The sequence below is a fragment of the Homo sapiens genome, chromosome 5, assembly GCF_000001405.40.
Source record: "Homo sapiens chromosome 5, GRCh38.p14 Primary Assembly".
Taxonomy (NCBI): domain Eukaryota; kingdom Metazoa; phylum Chordata; class Mammalia; order Primates; family Hominidae; genus Homo; species Homo sapiens.
Window position 1 is genome coordinate 89,397,024 of NC_000005.10, and position 25,736 is coordinate 89,422,759.

General features: G+C 35.1%; 2 long non-coding RNA genes across 7 annotated transcripts in view; one reads left to right on the forward strand and one right to left on the reverse strand.

The window, feature by feature from the left end:
- Nucleotides 1–25,736, forward strand: part of MEF2C-AS1 (MEF2C antisense RNA 1) — a 584,252-nt gene that overhangs the window by 513,694 nt on the left and 44,822 nt on the right. The window lies entirely within an intron of this gene.
- LOC105379073 (uncharacterized) lies at nt 5,285–12,726 on the reverse strand. The gene is made up of 4 exons (XR_001742436.3): nt 12,654–12,726; nt 6,523–6,643; nt 5,683–5,799; nt 5,285–5,374 (listed from the first exon to the last, which is right to left on the reverse strand). It is a non-coding gene; the product is annotated as an uncharacterized LOC105379073 (long non-coding RNA).

The following is a 25,736-nucleotide window of genomic DNA, read 5'->3' on the forward strand; positions in this document are numbered from 1 at the left end:
GCTCTCACCCTTTCCCCTGATCTTGTGAATTCATTTTTCTATGCCATCAAACACTTTTCAATTAATATGCCTTTATAGGAACTTCGTTCTATGTCTTGATTTAATCATTTTCTTCACAACTCTTCACTAAACTTATAGGAAAAGAGGACTAGACAGTGCACCTTTTTTCTTCTTATTGACAATTCTATACTCTTCCCTCCATTTCTGAGTCTCTTATGTTCCTCATTTGCCTTATGGTTTCACTTGCCACCTATGCCCCAGAGACCCAATAGCCAGATATGTGTAATGTTATGAATCACCCTCTAGATTCCCATGAATGACATACTTCCTGATTTGGATCTGTAAATACATCTATGCCTATATATGCTCTATATTTCTAAAATAAATTAAGTTTATAATATAAACATGATTGTTTTTACAAAAATTGATGTGTGTAACCTTTATCTCCTTTGTTATTATTTTACCTCATCTCCAGGTATGAGCTTGTTGCTGACATTCACTTCCAACCTCTAATACCACAGTTTGCTCTGTACCTAACATTTACCTTCTCCTTGGAGTAAGAGTGAAATTTTAGCTAGTGGTCATTTGGGAGTGGGATAAGGCAAATGCGATGAATGGGACAGAGCCTAAGAATTAAATCTCAGAGATGGGGTGGAGATCAAAGACATAATGAGTGTCAGAATTAGTTCAAGCCTTAAGAAATTGTTGAAGGTTAATAATGGAGTTAACTTCAAGGAAGAACTGAAGCTCAGTGATGAGGTAAATATCTGAAATGTTGAACATATTACTCAATACAAGAACTATGAAAGTTTATTTATTTTTGCTTTTTATCTAACTATGAAATGCTTATACCCGAACATGGTTTCTTTAGTCCTTTCTACTTTAAGTACCTCACCATTACATTTCTGTAATGCCACTATTTCAATCTCCCTGGTCTTTTTTTTTTTTAAAAAAAGAAAAGTCTAATTTTTATACAAAGGAATTGCATATGCCTAATGCATGTTTGATGAGTTGGGACATATTTATGTACCTGTGATACTATCACTGCAATCAAGATAATAAACATATTCAACACTTCCAAGTTTCCTTATGCATCCCACTCCTTTTGTTGTAAGAACATTTAATATGAAATCCACCTTTGTAACAAATTTTTAAGTGTATCATATCCTGTTGTTAACTATAGGCACTACGTTGTACAGCAGACCTATAGAACATATTTGCCTTTCATAACTGAAATTTTATAACCATTGACCAACAATTCCCCATTTCTGTTCCTCCAAGTCCCTTAGAAACCACTATTCTGTTCTCCATGTGTTGGACTATTTTAGATATCTCATATAAGTAGAATAGTAGAGTATTTGTGTTTATGACACTGACTTATTTTAATTAGCTTAGTATCTTCCAGGTTTATCCATGTTGTTGCAAATGTTAAGATTTCCTTTTGTTTTTGTAAGGCCAAACAATATTCCATTGAATATATATTCCACATTTTACTTTATGCATTCATTTGTTTATAGACATGAGAGTTGTTTCCATATCTTGGTTTTATGAAAAATGCTGCACTAAACATGGAATTACAGTATCTCTTTGAGATCCTGATTTCATTTTTTTGGATATGTATGCAGAAGTGGGATTGTTGGATTATAAAGTCTCTCTATTTTTAGTTTTTTGAGGAATTTTCATGCTATTTTCCATAATGGTTTTACCACTTTACATTTTCACCAAGAATGCAACATTATATTGAGGTCATGAACATGTGTGTATATACAAATGCATGAATAAATGAATATCTTTTCTGCCCCCTGATTACCATTTCTTTGTGGACCAGAGATATTTTATAAATACCACAAAAAGTTGTCCTATTCCCAGTTAGTTGATGCCCTTGTATTGGAACTTCCAGTTCCAGTATTACAATTGTAGACTATGGGAGTCAGTCAGCACTATGGTGGAGGTTTTTTGGTTCTAGCCCCACCACTTACTTCTTGGTCATGTTTCTGAGCTAGACACTGGGGTCAAACTTCAACTGTAGACAGTGAGTGCTGACTTGGGAGTGATGTTGTCTCTACTTCAGAAGTTTGAGGGTTATGGATTTATCTGAAGCCTACACAGTGGCCAGGATAAGAAATGTGCAGTTTCTAGGCTGAAGTTTTATCACAAGCTTTTTTGTAATTTTCAAGGCTGTTGGGACTGGAATTGGTAAATTTCTTTTATTTTCCTTTTAATCAATCTATTATTTAAATACATGTGGCTATATTAACTATATTAATTGAAATTTTTCTCAAAAGTTTGGTGAAAAAAATTATAATTCTTAATATTTTTTGCTTCAGTAGGAATACATACATAGATTTTAAGAAAAAAGGATATAGAAAAATCAAGAAAACCAAAACTTGACGTATTTTATATGTATATAACATCTATTCTATACTTTAAATCTTTTCAAGAATAGGCATTGTGTTTTATATGTATTTAATTTAAACACTCATAAAATTCTGAAATTAGCTATGATACTGATTTATATTCTAACACTGGAAATAAAACAAGATTATTTTTCTTTCTTTCACAAAGAGCAAAGGGTTTCAGAATCAAGTTTGTCTTCAAGCAGCAGCAAACGCTTGCTGACAAGATATTTTGGAACAACTTGCTATTAGGAAGGAAGTATGAGTGGGAGGATGAGAAATAGCTCATGCCCATATGACACATACAAGTTGTGAATGTGTTAGAAGTCCATGATGTAAAACATAAAAGGGTATAACAATTTATCTCAGTGACAGAAAGGACCTTATTCTAATCTTTTGTTTTTACAGCTCTATCCTGAATTAGATTTTTTTATCTCTTTACTTTGCTCTCATTTATTTCAATCAGGTCATAAGATGATGCTTATAAACATTACAAATCATAACATCAGGAGATAACATAGAATCTGTCAAAATATCTTGAACAAACTGCATGGACTTTCATGTTGAAGCCATTTGCCCTTGTTACTCCAGGCAAACATGGCAAAATCATTGCTGCATGAGAAATATTAGTGAATATTATCCTCTTTTTTTCGTCTAATAGTAATTTATGCTTTTCGAGTTGCCTTATCTAAAACTGTCATGATGGCTTTATATGTAAGCTTGTCTGCATCCCACATAAATTGGTAGTAAAAAGGACACTGTCAAATTATTATCCTAGAACAAACGATAATCAAGTGATTCTTTTCCAACAATACAATACACAGAAATTGGAAATCCATCCAATAATTTGTTCAACAAACAATTATTGAGCTGCTATAATTTTCAAAACTCTTTGATAGGTGCTTGAGGAATTCAGACATGAAGATCATGGTATTCTGTTCTTGAGGATTTTGAAGTCTACTTTGGACCCAAAACCAATATAATCCTAGTTTCATCTCAGCTATATCTCCTACATACACTATTTGTTATAACTTGTAGCAAATAAACTCTCTCCTTTGAACCCTTGTAATACTCTGAATTTTCCTTATGGAATAGAATTTTGTCAATCATATATAACAATAGTATATTTATTTATACAAGTCATCAGAGTAGTTTGTAAGACTTTGAGTTCTTTGAGGACATAAATAATACCTTATATATTTTTTAATCTTCTGCAGCACATTGCATTGATCATTACAATGTAATATGAAATCACTAATACCTATTAACCAAGCAGTTTATGGGGAATGCCAGATGAATGGTACATTAAATTAAGAGTTATGGGAAGAAAGAGGAAGGGAAGGCAACTTCCAGCTTGAAGCCACACAGAAATGCTTATTGGGTAATGGCATTGAATTCTAGATGAATTACCACCTTTTGATTCAGAACATTCAGGTGTTTACTCCTCTAAGTTTTAAATTTTAAATTGCCAAACTAGCAAATGGAAAAAAGGGACATTATCCATCCATTTTTAAAATTTCTTTATAAAATAAGTACATATTTTTTAAAAGTACAGACTGCATATTGTTTCAGCTATGTGTTGATTCCATCCCAAAACTTGGTGGAATAAAGCAACAACCATTTTATTGTATTCCTGATTTGGTGGGTCATAAATTCAGACAGGGCACTGCAAATATAGGTCATCTCTTCCACATGATGCTGGCACCTCAGCTGGGGTGATGCAAACAGCTGGAGCTGACTGGGATGAGGGTTTTCAGGAGTCCTTGGTTGTCCCTGTCAGTTGAATTCCTTGGTTGTTCTCCATATTGGTGCAACAGACACTGGCACGTGGGCTGGGAGCCCGGCCCAGCTGGGTTTCTGTGTCACCTCTGTCTTTCCACTCAGCCTGTCCATGTAGACATTGGGCTTCCTTGCAGCAAGATGGTCTTGGGGTAGGTGTGGTATCAGGATAACTACAGTGAACGTTTCCATTTAAAAAGGAGGAATGAGGAATGAGTAGTACTTACTAGTTCATAGCAGTTCTGATCCAGCCAGTGCAACAATTCCAGTTCCTTGATTAGGGCCCAGCTGTGCTCCCTGGGAGTGGTTCCCTGTGGTTCTTAACTCCACTCTCCAGCCAGGCGGCTCTGCACTCTGAGACTTTCTTCCTTTTCTACAGAGAATGGCTCATGTTTGTAGGTGATTAACTGTCTCAGCCTGCTTTCTTCCCATAGAAATTTGAAAGCCTATGATATTTTTGCTTTGAACTGATCCTCTCTTATTTAATGCAATTTGTTAGTGCTTCTACCAATGCAAATGTCTTAAAAACATTGTGGGTTTCTCAGAATATTATTGATGGTTACATGATTAGGCAAAAGCATACACACAGATGTCTTTACAACAGTTCATTCTCTATCTCGACCTGAGGCTTAGGGTGCTGTGGTATAACACCCTTAAAATCCAGAGACACCCTCTAGCAGAGAAGGTCTAAAGGGCAAGTTAACAAGCTTTGTTTTTCTGTCTACAAGGCATGACATTAAGTCTATCTGTAGTCCCAATACACAGTTAAAACTGCATTTGACTCCACTTTTAAACTGAGATGATGTTTTACTAGAAGGTTCCTGAATTTGATCATTACTCTGAGGCCATTTCTTCATTTAACAGCCTAAATCTCAGTGGAACAACTGTCCTTGACCATTTAATACCTAAGTTCTGCCAAACAGCTAAACACTTCCTTCATAAGTTTATCTCTGTTTTCTCATATTTTATCACATATGTTTAGAATAAATCAGTTAGTACTGTCAACATACTATTTACCCAGCCAGATCAATGAGTTTTCTTGGGTACACTTTCTATTTTCCACATTACCACAGATAAAGCTGATATTTCTGCCAATACTTAACTTGAACCTTCTTTCCTGCGGCTTTTTATTGCAGAAGCAACTGAGTTCTGGTTCCAATAACTGTATCAGTTGGGATTCAATCAGAAATACAGAAACACTGTGCATGGCAGGAAAAAGAAATTTATTATAAGAATTTGAACTTACACAATTGTGAGAGAAGCTAGGGATGTAAAAGTCCAAAAAAAGGGAGTAGCGATACTAGAGAAAAGTTAACTAGCCAGTCCTGACACAGATGGATGAGTCAGTTCTTACATGGAAATTTGGAAGCTATGCACATACAGCTGCAGAACAGGGGCAACAAAGGGAGACAGGTATAGAAATATATGGAAGGTTATTGGCTTTTCATGGCTAGTGTCTCTGTGACTTTGCAGCACAGCGAACTACAGCCTAACTGTTTGAAATCACCTGCAGAGCTGCATCTGTCTCCCACAGCCTGACTGATGATGACCATTAGAGGGTAATGGTTGTGCTTTGCTTCCATCTTCCAGAATATTTGCAATATAACTTTTGGTCAGCTAGAACCTACATACAGACATGGAAGTTGCTTTTAGGAAACAGTTCCCAGCTTAATCAAGTTGATGATAGAACAATTCTTAACCACATTCATTAAAGAAAACGTGGCAATTACAAACAAACATATAATATAGCAGAATAAAAACTGCTCATGAGCTTATTACCAAGATGTAAATGGCATTAACGTCTTAGCAGATTCTCACCTTTTATTCTCTGAAAACTTTTCTATTTTGTTATAGAAGATTTAGCATTAGCGATTTGCTTATGAAGTACTGCAACACAGTGATTAAAAGCCCACATTTTGGATTGGTCAGCTAGATTTTTTTTTTTTTGAGACGGAGTCTCGCTGTGTTGCCCAGGCTGGAATGCAGTGGCGCGATCTCGGCTCACTGCAAGCTCTGCCTCCCGGGTCCACGCCATTCTCCTGCCTCAGCCGCCTGAGTAGCTGGGACTACAGGTGCCCACCACCAAGCCCAGCTAATTTTTTGTATTTTTAGTAGAGACTGGGGTTTCACTGTGTTAACCAGGATGGTCTCGATCTCCTGACCTCGTGATCCGCCCACCTCGGCCTCCCAAAGTGCTGGGATTACAGGTGTGAGCCACCGCACCCGGCCTTAGCTAGATTTAAATACCAGATTCGTCACTAAGTATATGTATGACCTTTGGACAAAATAACAAACACCTCTTCTCTCTGTTTATTTTATGTAAAATGAGGATAAAACTAGTACCTACCTGTAATAGCTAGAATATGGTCTTCCAACGATGTCCATATCTTAATTCCCATAATATGTTAGGCTTTATTGTAAAGGAGCATTCAGATTGAAGGTATAATTAAGGTTGCTGATCAATTTACCTTGAGAAAGGGAGTTTATCCTGGATTATTCTGGTGGTCCCAGTGTAATTAAAAGGGTTCTTAAAAGTGGAAGAGGCAGGAGAGAGAGAGCAAGAGATATGGCAGTGTGAGAACTCAACATAACCTTAATAGCTTTGAAGATGGAGCAACGGGGCCACAGGCTGAAGAATGCCAGTTAGAAAGAAGCTGACAAGGGGAAGAAAATGGATTATTTCCTAGAACCTCCAGAAGGAACACAGCCCTGCCAACACCTTGAGTTTAGCCTAGTGAGACCCATTTTGGATTTTTGACCTCCAAAACTGGTAAGAGAAGAAACTTTTGCTTAATTAAACCACTAAGGGTATAATAATTTGTTACAACAGAAATAGGAAGTTAATACACTACCTCATGGGATTGTGGTGAGAATTAAATGGGATGAATATAGGAAGTTAATACACTACCTCATGGGATTGTGGTGAGAATTAAATGGGATGATACATGTAATCATGATTAAAATAGGTCCTGGCACATAGTAGTTCCTCAATAAATGTGATAGTTTGCTATTTCACTATGTATATATGTATCAAAATACCATATTGTACACCCTAATTTATACAATAAAGTTATAATCATTTAATTATATGAGATATGCTGTATATGTATATATATATAAATATACATATTCCCTGTTGTTGGATAATCTGTGTTCAATTTCTTCTTACAAAAAAATGCTTAAGTGGGCAAAATCTATGGGGAATTTATCTGTCTCCATGCCTGTTGTAGACTTAGTGGCTAATAAAATATCAGCCACACAGTAAGGCTCTATAAATAAATATTCATTAAGGAGATGAATAAATGGTCAGACTATTTGTGCCTATATATTTTTTATTCACATTTGTCTTTTGTCTGTAGGCTAGATTCCCAGAAAAGGAATTACTAGATCAAAATGAGCTGAACATTTTCATGCTCTTTATACCTACTGCCAAATGGATTTTCATAAAGGTTATGCCAATTTACACTCCCACAGCATTGTATGAATGTGACTTCGTCATCCTACCCATGCTAACATTGAGTATCCTGCATTTAAAAGATCTCTGATAGCTTTTTGCCAATTTTTATCATTCTTTTTATTATATTTTCAATTATTTTAGTGTGATAAACTTCTTAATGGTTATTTTATTTTTTATTGGTCTTTTTAAACATTTCTTTTGTAAATTCTTTGAGGATTATTTTCAAATTACAAATTATTTTAAACATGTGGAACAAAAGCACAGAAAATATGTCCTTCTGAACTTATCAGAAAAATTTGACAAATACTGGCAATTTCACAATATTAACTTCATTTATTGACTGATTTGCTTTTGTGATAGAATGTTATAGCTATCTTAAAATGCCTTGTATTTTCCTTTCTCTTTCTCCCCAGAGAGTATTTCTGTTCTGCATATTCTTCTTGTTTATGCTTTTATATTCACACACAACCCACGTGTACACACAACTAGTATGTGCGATACTCTTTTTCAAGTTACCTCTGTTTGCTTTACCAAGGTGTTAGTATTTTTGATATTAATCTATGAGTTCTTCATGTTACAAGGATTTTAACTCTTTGCTTGTCATAGTTGGTGTATTTCCCCAGTTAGTCATTTTAATTATGTTTGTTAAACTGATTTTCAACTGACTGCATTTACTTGAAAATCAGCTAGTTCCACTGATTTTTGTTTTGTTTTGTGCAGACTTAAGACTAAAGTTACAAGATTTTTATTCACATATTTGATTTAATAGTAAAGCACAATGTAGTAATCATTAAGACTTTCTGATTTATAATGTCTAATCTTTTTTACAATGAACTGCGATAAATATAGACTGATAGCAGCTATTAAAAATCTGTTATCTGATTATCTTAAGGTGGAATTTGTAAAACTTAGGATCTCTAAAGGTCTTGTATCTTAATTAATTCTCTCTTTTACAATATTAGCTTATAGTGGAGGCTGAAATGATAGTGGTTTCATTAATTAAAACCTATCAAAAGAAAAAAATTCATAGGTAATCTAATATTCATCCAATTTCAAGGAATACTTACAGAATACCTTTTTCTGAGCTGTTAAAATCAAGAAAGTCTAACATGTGCCTTTCAATGGTAGGTTTTCCTGATCTTCATGGAAAAATGTTAGAATTCACTCAACATGGTTTAAGGGTGTGATATTTTCATGAAAAATAAAAAATGATTTAATAAAATAGATGTAATTTATAATAAAATGGCATCCTTGTATACACAGACAAGAGATTATGAGAAGAAAATCTATTCAGAATTTCTCATTTAAAAATCAAGAACTACAAATCAGATGAAATTATTAAATAATATGTAAGTACTTTCACAAAACCTATAACATTCAGTCAATGGATAAAAATCTAGGAATTGCTTTCTTTTGAGTTTTCTTTACATGCAAGCTACCACAAAACAGAACCAGAAATGAGCCAGTATTTGTTATGGATGTGTGTGGAGAAAGAGATGATTTTTCCTCTCACAATATCTTAAAATTATGACCATTTGTTGGCCTAAGAGAATAAGTTATAATTAAAAAATCTGTCATAAAAATGTGGCCAATGTGCAGTAGCTATGTTTATGTATGTTTAGAAATCAACAGATAGAACTACAAGGGATATATTTCCATATTTGAAAGTGGCAATTGCTTAATATAAAAGTATTTAAAATTTCTTGAACACGTGTACACACAAGAAAAGAAAAAAAACTGAGGCATCTATTGTTATCTCTTTGACCATAGATATAATAAAAGCAAAATAAAAATTAAAGGATTTATAGCTAAAAAGTAGGTTTAGTGGATATTACCAAGTGGAAGTGTTTTTATTTAAATATATATAAACTTATAATATATTTCAGCAAAGCAAACAACCAGTACAATTAAGTCTACAGTGCTAAGTATATCATAAATATAAAAAATTAAAATGTGTTTTTGGTAAACTCTCCATTAAGAAAGTACAATCTCTTATCCTATCCACCCTGATTTTAAATTAGTCCCCTTCAGTTTTCTCTCAGCTAGCTCTGCTGGAAACGAGCAAAAAGCACAAATGAAAAGTAGAATTAAATTATATTGCTTTTCTTTAAAAACGATTCATCAATTTAAAGTACTTGGGCAAATAAAACTGACAAGTGGCTTTCTTCATTGAAGATGCCTAAGAGATGTGAAATGATAATTTGGCTTTTACTCCTCTAGTCATGTAAATAAGAAAGGCCACAGTTTTAAAAGAGATAGCGCACTATTTTGGGAAATAGTTTCAGGAATGAAAACATTAGAAGATAGATTATTTATAAGCTATGGCTTTCCATACTCCAATGTACATATGTTTTGGCATTGGGATAGCCAGACTTGAATTTGAAAACCTTATACTGTTACTCAGAAAGCATTCTGCTATTTCATTACAATGTTTTTGGTCTTTTTTCCCCCGTCAGGATTAAAGTATATGGCAAGCTATCTTTAGTAAGCTGACCTAATGGTCTCTTTCATCCACTTCTTCCCAAAAACGCACCCTAATGGAAGGAACCTTCTTAAGTGCCCTGGGAAGAAATCTCCTTGGGAAATTCTTCAGAAGGCTATTTAGAGAACACATGGTGACTGAAATAGTTTCTGAGGAGATGCATTGGCTTTTCTGAGAGAGGGACTGTCTGGGCCTCCCTTGCCAGATTCTTCCGTGGATAGTTCTTTGCTCTCTCTGGTTTTCAGCCTGTTGGAACTTATCTAATTTGTTTACAGAAAGAAGTTTCATATTAAATGCTTATTTATGATATGACATTCAGAAGAAGATGTAAAAGGAAAAAACTGAAAAGAAAGGCCGGGGTCTCTGATTGGAATTCAAAAACTACAGAAAATTTAGGAAGTGTAGATTTCAGGTGCTGCCAAACAGACACAAGACAGACACCAGATGAGATTTCTAAGCCACCTCAAGTTAGCAGCTCTTGAATTCTAGAAAAGTAAAGAAATATTTTAATTTTAACAAATAAATATTTGGGGGTGTATGCAGCCTGTCTGACTGAGATTTGCACAAGGAAATCTGAATTTTTAATTTCCTTAGGCTTACATCATTTTATTTCTAAATATATACATTTTTTGGTCTCCAGCTCATTAGCAAATAAATGCCCCTAAAAACAGAACAGTTCTAAAGATATGGGCTTATGTTCCAAAAATGAGATATTTTCATTTTATTCTTTTTTGTATGGCCACAGGTGGCATCTCTAACTATGGCTAGTCATTTGTGCTGCTACAGCCATGATATTTTAAAAATACACTTATTACATTTTAAAAAGAAACTTCAAAATTGAATCTCTCCTAAAGCTTTCCACAGGCATCCAGTTGTCTAGGTCTTGCAACTAATCATGAAAATAACATGTAAAAAATGAATAAAGCACATAGGCTAATCTGGAAACTTCTATTACCTGTCCCATGTTAGCCTCAATTCCAGAACTGATGATGGAAAGTGTCTTGTTGATTGAGACTGATAATATCTAATTCAGGTATTTCCATCAGAGAGACAGAGACCCTCCAAGTCAAATATTATCTACATAAAGGAAAGGAGGAGAGGCTCAAACGACAAGCTCAGCTCCTGACTAATTGCCACAATAATACAATGTGCAGCTTTGCTGCCAGAGAGCTAAATTGGCACACTGTACCTTCTTGTTGGAATTAAAAGATGGCTGGGGGAAATACAAGAATACTCTTATAAAAAAAAAGTATGAGGTAATCTTGTTATAAGTTTTCCAAACTTCCCTACTGAATGTTTGTTCCAAACTTTATTTAAATAGCATGTTACTGCGATACCTCATTTACATGGTGTGTCAAAGTGTTATAATTTCCACATTTCTAGACTCCCAGGTCCAAGACAGCATTGCATAATGAAGGGAAAGGATACAAGATTTCTAGGAATGAATTTTAGTGTAAATAATAATCAGTTATTCGATCAACATTCCAAGGACAATGAGGAATCTATGATGTATTGTTTATTAGATATTCAATGTTTTTACCCTCTATGGATTGAGGCACTTTCTGTAAATATGGAAAGGGGATTCATTATACTGTGGAGTATTTTCTGAAAATTCTGTTACTTTTTTTTTTTCATTTGCGTTCTATCACAAAATTCATCTAAGCATAGAAATGGTTGTTTCTCATTGGGGAATTTATCTGCCAAAATGTTATTGCTATAGGAAATGTATGTCACATTGGATTATCACTTGGCACTGTTCAAGCCAGAACAGTGTGAGCTTTAAACTTGGTTTAAAAAAATCTAATTAGTATCAACTGAAAAAGAAGATCCCTCAAAAAAAATTATTTCTTACTTTTCCTATTATGAAAGGTGATTTGTGATAAAAATTTTTAATCTGTAATCATTTTTGCTATGCAAAATCAAATTTGACATTTTTAGAATATATTATTCTGAGTAATAGGCAAATTTCCTTAAAACGTGCTTAAAAATGGGGAAAATTAAATGAATAGAAAATATTATTCCTAGTGAAAAGCACCTGTGTGGGCAATAATGAATGAAAATATAAGAATGTAAGGAGTTTATTACTCTATTCAGACAGTTCTCTAGGTAAATTGAGAGATGTTTTTGATATTCAATCAATAATAATTTATTGAGTGACTATTATCTGGCAGTTACTGCATTAAATAATAAAAATGAGAAGACTCTATGAAGACTGGATAAAGACTGAATAAGACTCTATCATTTCATTTAACTGCTTTATGATCCAATCTGCAGGCACACATAAAAAGACTGGCTGTAATCTTCAACAAAAATCAGTAGGAATACACACACAAACACATCCATGTATACGTATTTGCACATATATACATATTCATACATACATATGTATGTATATGTATTTGCACACACAAATTCATGCATATATATTTGCATACAATCATCTGGAAAAGGATGAGATTAAAACACACACACACACACACACACACACACACACACACACACACACGAAGAGCAAGCTGCTTTTTGGAATCTGACAGACCTGGATGTCACTTGAACCGTGTTGACCCTTGATTCCTTATCAAATGGGTTGACAATATTTCCTTAGAGGGTTTCTGAGAATATTGAAGGAGACAATAGATGCAAAACATTTAGCTCAGTGCCAGCCATGTAAAAACAGTAAGAAATATATAATTATTATTATATTTCATTTTATTTTGAAAGACTTCTTGGAGGAGGGAGCATATAAACAGACATTGAGATATGAGGATATAAAGAAGTATTATTAGGAAAAGGAAGTAACAGAATAGTATACCATAAGTAGAGAAGGAGAAAGTGATTCCAGAACAGGTAGGCACTTCTATCGCCATTAAATAGTATATGGCCATTTACTATTCCATTTCATAAAAAAGAAAATTCTAAGAGCAAAAAGAGTGTTTTAAAAAAACATATATATATATATGTTAAAGTTTTTACATTGAAATAAAGATCTCAGCTTGGATCTACTTAAAACACATTAGAGAAATAAAAAATATAATTAGTGAAAAAATATTCAGGAAAATTTACTGGAGATGATGAAACAATAGGAATTTAAGGCATTAGCCATAATTTTAAATATTAAAAATATATTTTGTGATTAAAATATTGAAAATATTTTGATTTGAATACATCACAAAAGCAATTAAGCTAATTACACACATTTTCTCTTTTTCTCTCTGTTTTATTAATATGTCACATTTCTGCTCATTTATCTTTTTTTTGTATTTTTTTTTCGTAACACAAATCTTATCCTAATGAGAATTTAAAATCAGGAGTCTATGTGACATAGAATTTCACCTATACATTATCTTAAAAACATGGGTTTGGGCAGGATCATTCTGAAAAATTTCTACGAAAGTATTTCACACAGTGAGGTTTGAAGGTTTATAAATTCTGTGGTCATGTCATCAGGGTGATATTTTGAGAACAGCAAACACAGTGTGTGTATGTGTGTCTGTGTGTGTGTGTGTGTGTGTGTGTGTGTATCTACTTCGTCATTGATAAAATTAGGTAGCGGCTATTTTACAGATATATCATAATTGAAAAATAGGACTAGATAAATAAATAATAGGTGATAGAGTAGAGATAGAGATAGGATTGAAAATCCATCTTGCACAAGCTGCTTGTAGAAAAGCCCTGGCTACTTGGGGTCTCTGAGTGCTTGGATAACTGAATATCACTACTGTCTCTTATAGATCTTTTACCTTCTTAAGGGAAAGTAAGCTAATGGCTTTCTACTGTTGTATTATAGGTAATTTTATGAGAGTAGGCTTGCACTGGCTTTCATCCTTGAATGAAGTCCCCCTTCATAGCTCTTCACGTTGAATTCTTGCCCTAACATTACCATCTCAGATGCCAGCCCTGCCATGAAGTCTTTGCTGATGCTTCAGACATTTAAGACACCTGTATATTTCCACAGCATTTTGTTTGTATTTTTGAGTGATTTGTCATGTCCTTTTTACAAAAAAAATTTGGATGTGTTTCTTTTCTATTCCTTCCCTCCCTAGAAACATTTTGTGGGAAAAATTGCACATTAACAGACTCTTGATAAAACATTTGTTGAGTTGCATTGCATTGACTTGAATTTGTAGACAATTTTTAAGTGGAATGGCTAACAGAACCTTTCTAAAAGTCCATCCATCTGTTCTATTGATAGTTGTTATGTATTATTAGAAAGATTTCTAATTCTAGGTATATGTATGCAAGTATAAATGAACTAATTTTTCATGTATTAGAATTACTAATTTTTCATTAGTTTTTTTAATGACATTTATCAAACACATTATGGTAAAATTTTCATAATAGCAAGTGGTTAGCAGTATTCAGTTGCACTCTTTGCAACTACCATATTTTAAATAGTTTAATGACAGGAAGGGACAAATCTTTCAAGTATTTTTATCAGCTTATTTATCAGTATTCTTGTTTGCTTTGAGGTGAAAACACTAAATAATATAAAAATCAATGTATAGGCAGTATAAATGTTACCATCATCATTGTGACTGACCAAAGTGTATAATACTTTAAACATAATAGCAATATGCTGAAAATTAAAGCAATTTTATTGATTTTTATTTCTAGCTTTTAACGCATCACTGGTCCTCTTCCTTTCACGAGTCAATTTCCTTTACTGCTCTTGCTCATTCACAATAAATATTTACTATCCAAGTTCTGTTACCACCACTAATAATTACAATATGTGTGAATATCCTGATGCTTAGCCATAATGATACCACTACAGTCAATGCTCATCGAACTACCATTTGTGGGAAACTGCCTTATACTTTGCTTTCCAAAAGCCATTTTTGGTACTGTCCTCTGATTGAGAGTCCATGCTTCACTCAAACAGAAGTCTATCTTGAAATTCTGGTCCATTACATAATTTTCAGAAGCTGGGAGAAAGGCATTTGCATCATTTCTGTTCCCAGATCTGTTCAATATATACTTCCAGTCTGTCATGCCTGAAATTAATTTTTTTTACAATCTGGATCTTTACTATATGCTAAAAATTCAGTACAAAAAAGGACCTCCTTCTGCAGAGAATATGTAAGCCAGAACATCGTGTTCCATCTTTATAATGAAACACATAGTTCCAATCAAAAGGCAAATTTGTTTCAAAATGTTTAAAGAGAATAATGCTTTAAAGGATTTCAAATGGTTACTTTGTAAAAGTGAGAAGATTTCTATTTTGCTATATATTTTGACCTGGATCATGTAATTTGTATGTAAACTACACAACTTTTTATTTATTTTAAGCTATTTACCCCTTTGTGTTTCATGCTTCTGAGATTGGAAAACAAATGTGAATAATATTAGAAATAGTTTCTCTCAAAACACATTCAATTGTATGACCATTAAAAATGTAAATTGTGAGTATTTATCAACAAGTTCTAAGCAAATGATAATATACAGTTTAGACTCTTGAGTCAAGAAGCTTATCATTACCACAATTTAAAATTTTGTTTCTCCAAAACTAGAAAATTACTCTTCTTTATTTTGTAAACTTTTCAAAGTAGAATGACCCTAAAAACTAAATTTCAAATATTAGAAAAAGAAAATATGATAGCATTAAAAACAAAACAAAGAAAAACCCTTTGTTGGATCTTGGGAATATTACTCACCTCTGAAATTATATTCATTCCTCTGTAAAATGGGAATAGGCACATGTGAAGACTAAATGAAGTAATGCATATAATGGCAATAATACAGAACCTGAATTAGATTTCTCTTCTCCTCTTATGTCTCCTCTTCCTCCCCTGCGGCTTCACCTACCCTCCACCTCCCCTTCTTTATCTCTTTTTCTCATTTTCTTAGGTTGGGGCAAAAATATTTCCTTTCTCCTATTTCTTCTTCCTCTTTAATTCCAAAATGAGGCTTTTGTTAACATAGCATTTTACTTAGATCCAAGGTTCAAACTGAGACCTCTATCACATCAAAATCATACTTTTCTGTAACTTTTTAATTTCCCCTGGAAGTTCTATTGATTTTTGCATAATGAACCTGTCACAGACACATAATGAGATTAAACAAATTTTCAACTTCTGACAAATACTATGTTTCTAAAAACGTTTGCCTTATGCTTTTGGATACTATATTGTTTGGTACATGAATATTTGTTAATGTTTGGCTTTTATTAACATTTTTAAAAACTAGTAAATAATGGACTAGCTTATGTAGTGATTAATTTCTGATTTGTTTGATATTAATAATACTCATGATGACTTCACACAAAGTTTATTAATAAGTCTTTGTCATTCTCTTTTTAACTTTCTGCATTTCATTTGCTCTAGGTTCATGTCTTACATCTAGCTAGTATTTTTTTCACTTCAATCTGCGATTTTAACTCATTGTTTACATAGTATTTCCATCTATTTTTCTATAAGACGTTCTCGTTCTCATCTAATGAACACTTTTATTAGTTAGACTTAACTTATAGTTGCATTTTTACCCTAGTTTTGATGTTTACATTGTGTTGAATGATTTAAGAGGCATTGCACAAATATTCTTATTCCACGCTTATATATATTGGTCTAAACTGTCATAGAGTGTAAAAAGTATTCGGCTTTTGCCCAAACGTTCTCCATTCTCTTCTAATTTTTTACTAACTTTGTCTGCATCTTTAACAATAACTTTTTGTTTTCTTTTTGTATTTTGATTACGGTTGTTGTTCCCATTTATTGTTGGAGGTAAGTCTGCTTGAATTGCTTAATCAATCAAAATCCACTTATCTGATATCGATAGGCATCACAAACTAATCACAAAGGGGCAGTACTTAAATCATTTGGCTGCCTATGACTGAAAATAAAATTCATAGTGATTTAGCTAAACAGAAAGTTTATTTTTGTCACTTCACAAAATTCTGCAGGTGAGAAGTCCAGGGCTTTTACAGTAGCTTTTGAAATAATATTTAAGACTTACTCTCTTTAACCTCTTCACTCAGCTGATTTTAACATGAACACTTGCCATTGTGCTTGCCATTCCATGCTTGTAAGATGGTTAGCCACCACCAGCTTTGTATCTGAGTTCTGGGGAAGAAGAATACGAAAGCCAAAGACAAAGGCCATGAACCTCTAATGTCTTCCCTTTAAAAAGCTTTATCCAAAGCCCCATCTGGAAAATCCAAGTTACATTTCATTGTGCCAGAACCTTGTCAAATGACTATTTTTATCCACAAGAAAGGATAAGGAATATTATATTTCAACTGGAAACATTGTTGCCCCATACAAAATTAGGTTTCTATTATAACCATAAAGTTGTAGAGAATAGACATTGCATAGGCAAGTAGCAAAGTCTTCCAAGAGAGCTAATCCTTATGTTAGTGTTATATGATTCTAACCCCCAATCTACCCAACCTTTGGCTACTAATGATTGGTTGTGTGGTAGACCCTTAACTTTGGGTCAAACAGATTTCTGTGAGTCAATCAGGAACTATGACTCAAAGATGAAATCCGAATTGTGTGTTGAAATTCAGAACCAACATTGGGCACTCAGTGTCTACCATGTGCATACTGAAATAGGGATAGCCTGGGGAGAGAAAAGAAAAAAGAAAATAAAATTGCACTACAGAAGTATTAGTATTAAAATACCATGTAGCCTAAGAAAGATAAAGAAAAAATTCCCTTCTTGTTTCTTCAACACATTACCCTTTTTGGCCCAGCTAGTGTGATAGCGATTCTGTTTCTCAATTTAGGCATATAGGATAACATAGCATCTTTCTCTCTTGGTGGTTTTTGTTTAGTTTTGTTTTGTTACTTCTGTTTAGACACAATTCAAACTCTGTGGAAGCAGGCGCACATATTTCTGTTCAACATTGTATTTACTCTGCCTAGCAGAGCATCTAATAGATAAGTATTTGTTTAATAAATGAGGCTTTATGTAAACTAAGGATCTCTAATTCTTTTTTTTCTCTTATCTTTTATTTTGTCATTGGTTTCACTGGAAATTCCAGTTTTCTTTCTACAGAAGCATTCCCTTTTAAGAGTTACTTTTGTTTAATGATTTCTGGACAGTGCCATTAATGATCCTGTAGGAACAGTTTATTTTGGTGTGCAAGTTTTCAGAAAGTAAACTCAAATGATAAAATCTTTCTTTTGTGTTCATATAGGAGGAGATAAATAATAGGTAGTATCTCTCTTCACCAATTGAGAAATAATATGTGGAAAAAGACAGAGAAGGCAACCAAAATACCAATTCTTCCTTTATAGAGGAATTGGCTTATATCTGTGTTATAGTGTACTTCCTAAATGTTGAATTTCAGAATTAGGCATACTCACCCACCCAGCGACTCTGAAACAAGAATGAAAGAGTGAATTATATTATATCGTCCTTATGAGTTAAAGTTCAAAGAAATTGAAGTAAGCACACTCAGTCAGAAGGACTCTCCCATTAAAAGGTTAATTTTGGCCCTATGCATTCAGCATGTGGCAGGGACTAAAATCCATTTATGCAAAATGTCTCATCTTGCAAAAAATTCAATTTGAGCCATCATTAGATTCTTCCATACATTTCTAAATTTGCCTTTATGGCATCTCCATTGTGAAGTCTTTTATAAAGTTCTTCCTTTTCTGCATAGTCTATTCCAAACACCTGAATTCCCATTTTCTCCTTGGTTTTGTGTTTTTGCATTGTAGAATTGAATTGAATGACTTTTGAGTCACAAAGCCCACACTCTCTTTATGAGCAAGCATTTCCATGTTTCTGGCACTATGACTGTTTTCACTGCCTCTTGTTACAGAATTGTTTGGGTCTAAGAAATTTACCTATGAAGGAAGTTTTCCTCTTCATACATAATTAACCAATCTGGAACCAATGTGTAATTGTATAGTAGAAGACAATTATTAAGTCTTATTCAAAAACTATATTAATTTGAGATTACTCCCCTCATCTTCTCATTCCTGGTACTGAATGCAATATGGATTTTGAGTTAGCTGATCTAGCACTGTCTGTACAGGGATAAAGCTTATAATTTAAATTAGAATCTCACTAGGGTACATGAAACTCATTTGTTTTTTTTCAGTTTAAAAGAAGTTGTATTGTTCTTAGCCATTGCCATAAAGACTCTTCCAGCTCACCCTCCATGATCCTCTTTCTGTCCCCAGTAAATATTTGCTTCAGCTGCTTCTGCTTGGATGTGAGCTGGGGAATGGAGTGTTAGGCAAATAGAACTCAGCCCTGTAGAAGAGAAAAGAAGCTCTTCCCTACCCTCCCTCCATGTATATGAGTGACAATTTGATTTTGCATGACATTAATGTATTACTGTTTTGCTGTAAGCATTCTGAGACCAGCTCCTCATCATATTCTGGCATTGATTTTATCATAACTTTAGGTTTGGTTCAGATGTAAATTTAGTTGCTATGTCTCTCAAGTCTTTTAAAATCTACTCTCTACTCTTCTTTTTTCCCCTCCAATTGACCTGTTGAAGAAACTGAATTACTTCTCTTGCAGAATTTCTCACAATCAGGTTTTTCTTACTGCATTCTTATGGCATATGTTCCTCTGTACCCAGCACACTAAAAATTAGATAGCACAAGCCTGATATGGTTTGGCTGTGTCCCCACCCAAATCTCATCTTGAACTGTAGCTCCCATAATACCCATGTGTCATGGGAGGGACCCAGTGGGAAGGACCCAGTGGGAGGCAATTGAATCATGGGGGCAGGTTTTCCCCAAGTGTTCTCATGACAGTGAATAAGTGTCACAAGATCTCATGGTTTTATAAATGGCGAAGTTCTCCTGCACTTCTTTCTGCCATCAAGTGAAGAAGGATGTGTTTGCTCCCCCTTCCACCATGATTGTAAGTTTCCAAAGACCTCCCCAGCCATGCTGAACTGTGAATCAAACCTCTTTCCTTTATAAATTACTCAGCCTCCTTTATCAGCAATGTGAGAAGACTAATACAGTACATTGGTATGGTGTAGTGGAGTGCTGCTGTAAAGATAGCCAATAATGTGGAAGTTACTTAGGAAGTGGGTAACAGGCAGAGGTTGGAACAGTTTGGAGGACTCAGAAGAAGATAGGAAAATGTGGGAAGGTTTGGAACTTCCTAGAGACTTGTTGAATGGCTTTGACCAAAATACTGATAGTGATATGGATAGTAAAGTCCAGGCTGAGGTGGTCTCAGATAGAGATGAGGAACTTGTTGAGAACTGGAGTAAAAATCACTCTTGCTGTGCAAAGAGACTGGCAGCATTTTGCCCCTGCCCTAGAGATCTGTGGAACTTTGAACTTGAGAGAGATGATTTAGGGTATCTGGGGGAAGAAATTTCTAAGTGGCAAAGCATTCAAGAGGAAACACAGCATAAAAGTTTGAAAAATTTGCAACTTGACAATGCAGTGGAAAACAAAAAATGATTTTCTGGGGGGATATTTTGGCCAGCAGCAGAAATTTGCATAAGCAATGAGGAGTCAAATGCGAATTGCCAAGACACCGGGGAAAATGTCTCCAGGGCATGTCAGAGACCTTCACAGCAGCCCGTCCCATCACAGGCCCAGATCCCTAGGGTGAAAAAATGGTCTCCTGGGCTAGGTCCAGGGCTCCCCTGCTGTGTGCAGCCTTGGGACTTGGTGACCTGCATTCCATCCACCCCAGCCATGGCTAAAAGGGGCCAATGTACAGCTTAGGCCTTTGCTTCAGAGGGTGAAAGCCCCAAGCCTTGGCAGCTTCCATGTGGTATTGGTCCTGCAGGTGCATAGAAGACAAGAATTAAGGTTTGGGAACCTTTGCCTAGATTTCAGAGGATGTATGGAAACACCTGGTTGTCCAGGCAGAGGTGTGCTGGAGGGTCAGAGCCCTAAAGGAGAACCTCTGATAGGGTGGTACAGCAGGGAAATGTGAGGTTGGAGCCCCCCACACAGAGTCCCCACTGGGGCCCTGCCTAGAAGAGGTGTGAGAAGAGGACCATTGTCCTCCAGACCCCGGAATGGTAGATCCACTGACAGCTTGTACCGTGTACCTGGAAAAGCTGCAGACACTCAACACCAGCCTGTGAATGCAGTCTGGACAGGGGGCTGTACCCTGTAAAGCCACAGGATGGAGCTGTCCAAGGCCCTGGGAACTCATTTCTTGTGTCTGCTTGACTTGGATGTGAGACATGGAGTCAAAGGATTTCATTTTGGAACTTTAAAGTTTAATGACTGCCCTATTGGATTTTGGACTTGCATGGGGCCTGTAGTCCCTTGGTTTTGACCAATTTTTCCCATTTGGAACTGGTGTATTTACCCAATGTCCAGCCCCCATTGTATCTAGGAAGTAACCAACTTTTTTTAAATTTTTTATCTTACAGGTTCATATGTGGAAGGGACTTGCCTTGTACCAGATAAGACTTTGGACTGTGGGCTTTTGAGTAAATGCTGAAATGAGTTAAGACTTTGAGAGATTGCTGAGAAGGCATGATTGGTTTTGAAATGTGAAGACATGAGATATGGGAGGAGCCAAGGGATGAATAATATGGTTTGGCTGTGTTCCCACCCAAATCTCATCTTGAAATGTAGCTCCCATAAGCCCCATGTGTTGTAGAAGGGACCCAGTGGGAGGTAAGTGATTCATGGGGGTGGCTTTTTCCCATGGTCTTCTTGTGATAGCGAATACATTTCATAAGATCTGATGGTTTTCTAAAGGACAGTTCCCCTTCACTTCTCCTTCCTGTTGTCATGTGAAGGACATGTTTGCTTCCCCTTCCACCGTGATTGTAAGTTTCCTAAGGCCTCCCCAGCCATGCTGAACTGTGAGTCAATTAAACCTCTTTTGTTTATGTTACCCAGTCTAAGGTATGCCTTTGTTAGCAGCATAAGAACAGACTAATAGGTTCAATCAGAGTGAACTTTGTTTTCAACAAGAATTCTCCATAGCTGGTATTGTGTACTTCCTTCATGAGGCATACAATTTCTGGGTATCTCAATGTGTGATGTTGATTAGCGCTGGTAATCATTGCCCAGTAATGTAGTTTCATTAGGCATTTAAAAAACGGTGATATTCTTCCATGTCTACCATTTTTCCCTCTTTTTTTAAGCTCAGAAAATTAATGATCTTCTCTCCATTTTGCATGTTGCTTAATTTTATTTCCTGTTTCATTGAGTGGTCGTTCGAGTCATTGATTTTCACTACTTAGTTATTTTCATTGATGACTTAGATTTTTCTTTAACAAGGTTTAATTGGTTCAGTTTTTGTTTTGCAGCTACTATGCTTTATTTTCTTCTGTATAAAAGAATACCAGCTGTTTTCAAAATCTACTTTTGTGTGATTGTTCTGTATCAGGAATAGCACAGGCATTTTTTTTTCTCCCAATTATTTTTTCTGGTTCTTTAAAATTTTACTAAGTCAAGTTATTATTATTGTTCTTCCTCTCTTCTTGTGATTCTTTGGCTAATCTCTAGAGATCTAGTCTAATGGTAGACAGATTTGAGATTTTGTGACAAGTGCTAGGTTTATGGCTCTCTTTGGTGTTGGAGAAAATTCCACTGGTGCCATTCACTGCGAAAGAAAAATTTTCAAGATTCAACTACAAACTCAAGGAATGGCTTAGTGATGTGACAAAGGAAACTGTCTGTTGTATTTCTGTGATGCTGAAACTTTCATTCTTATGTGAGAGCATTATACCAATAGCAAGATTTTCAACATGAAGTATCACATGGAGTTAGAATTAGGGAGCACGCTATCTTGGGGAGATACTTCCATTCCTCTTCTCATAATCTGCATAGTAAAGAATGCTCTATTTAATAGCAGGGTAGATCTTCCGTATTTGAAAACAAGGAGTATGTCAGCTGGAGATGAGCATTTCACTCCTGCTTTCCTCTTAAATTCTCCAAATTGAGTTTAGGGTTCAGGCGGATTTTTGCATCTGTTTTCTTTTTCTAGCCCTGAAATTATTAGACATATTAGGGGCTGGAATGTTCAGGCTATCCTCAACATAATATTTCCTATACTGCACACATTAAATTGATTTTACTGAGCCAATTTCTCTGAATTCAAGTTGTATCTGCCGTAGTACCTTTCATTCCTCCCCTTGTTAGAACAACAACTTCTGGCAGCATGCCTCTCCAGAAAGACTGCCTAGGGCCGCTTGACAGAAGACACCATTCCTAGGTTTTAACTCATTAGGTGACAGACTGTAGAAATTATTGTAAGAATTGAGAATTTATTTGGTTCTCTCATTCTTCTAAGCAACAGTTGAGAATTGTTTTTCTTTTTAGGATATCTTTTCATGGATATATTACAGAGAAATAAGAAAAGATAAATTTAGTTATATTTGTATCTTCTAAAAAGACCATTATATTTATTTATAAAAATGTATTCATTTATTAATACACATCCATTATAATTACTTTACTTTAACATAAGTATGCAGAATGCCTAGTAGTACAATATTACTTTTTGTATTCTCCACCTTAGTTTGGTAACATGACCCCTTTTTAGTCAATCATACAAGAAAATGACTTTGTCCTGAACCAAGGCAGGCTGCTGCTTTGAGAGGTCCCAAAGAACAGCAGGGGTTTTATAACATCAAGATAGTTCTTTCTGTGATAAATTTTACCTCTTTTGTTCAGGGCATGCATCAGAATTATCAACAAATAGTTAATTGGAAACAGTGCCTAGAATACAATTTTGAATATCATCCTTATTTTGTACAAAATATGGTTCTGTCATTTCCCACCCAGTTGAACTTGAGATTTTCATTTTGATGTTGAGAAAAAGAAAATTACAAGTAATAAAGTGATCAAAAGGCCATCTTCAGTGTAAGATTAATGCTGAGACTAGTATATTTACCATACAATTGTATAAGTAGAAGGTTTTTTATTTTTCTTTTTCTTTCTTCCTTTTTTGTAAGAAAGGAGTTTTAACTCTACATTTTGTGTTCACTCCTCACTTAAAGTAAAATTGGGTTAGAAAAGAGAAATGTGTGAAAGCCGTATTTGGAGTTGCTTTGTATAATTAATGAGTCATCATCTCCCTCAAGCAGAGAATCAGGAAGCTAACCTTTGCTGACTGTGATTATTAGTCTGAGAACCTCTACATTCTGACTTGCTATTTTCTCATCCTTAAGATTGCAATCTTTACTACTGTTCATATCATAAATGCTGAACCCAAAGGATTAGGCCCTAACCTAAAGGATTTCAACACCAATCTCTTCCAGAACTGAAGGTCTCTAAAGAGAAATTAGAGCATTCTTTTCCAAATGCTACTAACCTCTGCTGGCTGAGTTACTGGACTAACTTATTAATGTTTAACCTCTCAGTCATAAAATGTTGGTAATAACAATTTTATTTAGTCAAAGTGTCACATTGAATTTTATGGGAATGAACTTATTTTTCAGTGCCAATAACAAAGAAGTCAAATTAGGTAAATTTCTTTATGAGTGAAGAAAACATAATATGTGATTCCCTCTTATTTTTTTCCCCCTAGGCTGGAGTGCAGTGGTGGGATCTCACCTCACTGCAACCTCCACCTGCCGGGTTCAAATGATTCTCATGCCTTAACCTCCCGAGTAGCTGGGATTACAGGTATGTGCTAGTATGTCTGGATAGTTTTTGCATTTTTAGTAGAGATGGAGTTTCGCCATGTTGGCCAGGCTGGTCTTGAACTCTTGGCCTCAAGTGATCTATATCTACCTGCCTCAGCCTCCCAAAGTGGTGATTCCTAACTTTTTTTTTTTTTTTTTTTGAGATGGAGTCTCGCTCTTTCGTCCAGGCTGGAGTGCAGTGGCGCAATCTCAGCTCCCTGTAACCTCCACCTCCCGGGTTCAAGCAATTCTCCTGCCTCAGCCTCCCAAGCAGCTGGGACTACAGGTGCACACCACCATGCCCAGCTGATTTTTGTATTTTTAGTAGAGACAGGGTTTCACCATGTTAGCCAGGATGGTCTTGATCTCTTGACCTTGTGATCTACCCACCTCAGCCTCCCAAAGTGCTGGGACTACAGGTATGAGCCACCATGCCCAGCTGATTCCTAATTTTTAAAACAATAGTATCTCCTTGAGTATCACATCATGTGTGTTGTTTACTAGTTCAAGTAACTTTTCAGCTGCCTTCTCTTTTGTGTTTTGTACTTTTTCTCAATCATTAGAGTTCTCTCACTATCTTTACTTCACACACACTATTAAATGATTGATGAATATAATAATCTAATCTACAGAATGTCTCTCCAATTACTTTGTCACTTGTTACATTGTCAAATGTGCAACATATTTAATTAGCAAAAATACTACTTCTTTACTGATATGGATGCCCTTATTTCTTTCTCTCATCTGATTGCTCTGGCTAGGAATTCCAATAGTATGCTGAATAGAAATGGTGAAAGAAGATATCCTTGTCTTGTTCTAGATCTCAGTGGGAAAACGTCAACATTTCCCCATTCAGTATTAATGTTGGCTGTGTGTCTGTCATAGATAGCTTTTATTACCATGAGGTATGTCCCTTCTATGCCGATCTTGCTGCGGTTTTAATCATAAAGCGATGCTGAATTTTGTCAAATGCTTTTTCTGCATCTATTGAGATAAGCATATGACTTGTGTTTTTAATCCTGTTTATGTGATGTTTCACCCTTATTGACTTGTATCTGTTAAACCATCCCTGCATCCCCGGTATGAAACCCCCTT